The sequence below is a fragment of the Homo sapiens genome, chromosome 8, assembly GCF_000001405.40.
Source record: "Homo sapiens chromosome 8, GRCh38.p14 Primary Assembly".
NCBI lineage: Eukaryota > Metazoa > Chordata > Mammalia > Primates > Hominidae > Homo > Homo sapiens.
In genome coordinates, this window is record NC_000008.11 from 79100248 (window position 1) to 79101433 (window position 1186).

A 1186-nucleotide genomic window follows, 5' to 3' on the forward strand; every position below is an offset into this window, starting at 1 on the left:
GATAATTTCAGGCCATGGCAGGTAAGGAAGGAAAGAGAGGAATGAGATGCATGTTTCAACTGTAAAAGAGTTATAAAATCAGTCAACAGAAATCTCAATTAGAAAAAAAGTACCTGTAGCATAGAAGTATTTTTTTTTTAATGAGGCAAAAATATACTTAGTGGTTTGTTCTGAGAAAGACATGTTTTCAAAGAAGATTTTTGAGTCCCTGAGTTATTAGAGGTAGAAAGTCTAGGGTACCACCATGAAGGTATGTAGCTAAAGTGGAGTAGATAAAGCTGACCGGGGTGGAATTCAAGAATGTGAAAGGCAAGGTGTTGGATGAATCATTAACAAATAATTAAAGTCACACAAATTGGTGCAAGAATAGTGGGGGAAGATAATCAATGAGTCAGCTTTAAAATCTCCAGGGAATAAAGGACAAGTAACCTGAAGGCTGATAGATGGTTGTGATAAGGAAAGAGAACAAGTAACATAATGTGATGACATGCACTGCAAAAAATCTGCATCTTTTGGGAATGGCGGGAGGAGAAATGATCTAGAGTGGCCATAAAAAGCAAAAGTTGTCTTCATCATGAAATCTTTACCCATTACTATGTCCAGAATGGTATTGACTAGGTTATATTCCAGGGTTTTTAGAGTTTGAGGTTTTACATTAAGTGTTTAACCCATCTTGAGTTGATTTTTGTATATGGTGTAAGACAGGGTTCCAGTTTCAATCTTCTGCATATGGCTAGCCAGTTACATCAGCACCATTTATTGAATAGGGAGTCCTTTCTGCATTGCCTTTTTTTGTCAGCTTTGTCAAAGATTGGATAGTTGTAGGTGTATGGTCTTATTTCTGGGTTCTCTATTCTGTTCCATTGGTCTATATGTCTGTTTTTGTACCACTACTGTGCTGTTTCAGTTACTGTTGCACTGTAGTATAGTTTGAAGTCGGGTAGCATGATGCCTCCAGCTTTGTTCTTTTTACTTAGATGGCCTTGTCTATTAGGGCTCTTTTGGGGTTTCATATTAATTTTAAAATAGCTTTTTTCTAGTTCCATGAAGAATGTCATTGGTAGTTTGATAGGAATAACATTGAATCTATAAATTGCTTTGGGCACTATGAGCATCTTAAAATTGATTCTTCTTACTTATGAGCATGGAATGTTTTTCCATTTGTTTGTGTCATTTCTGATTTCTT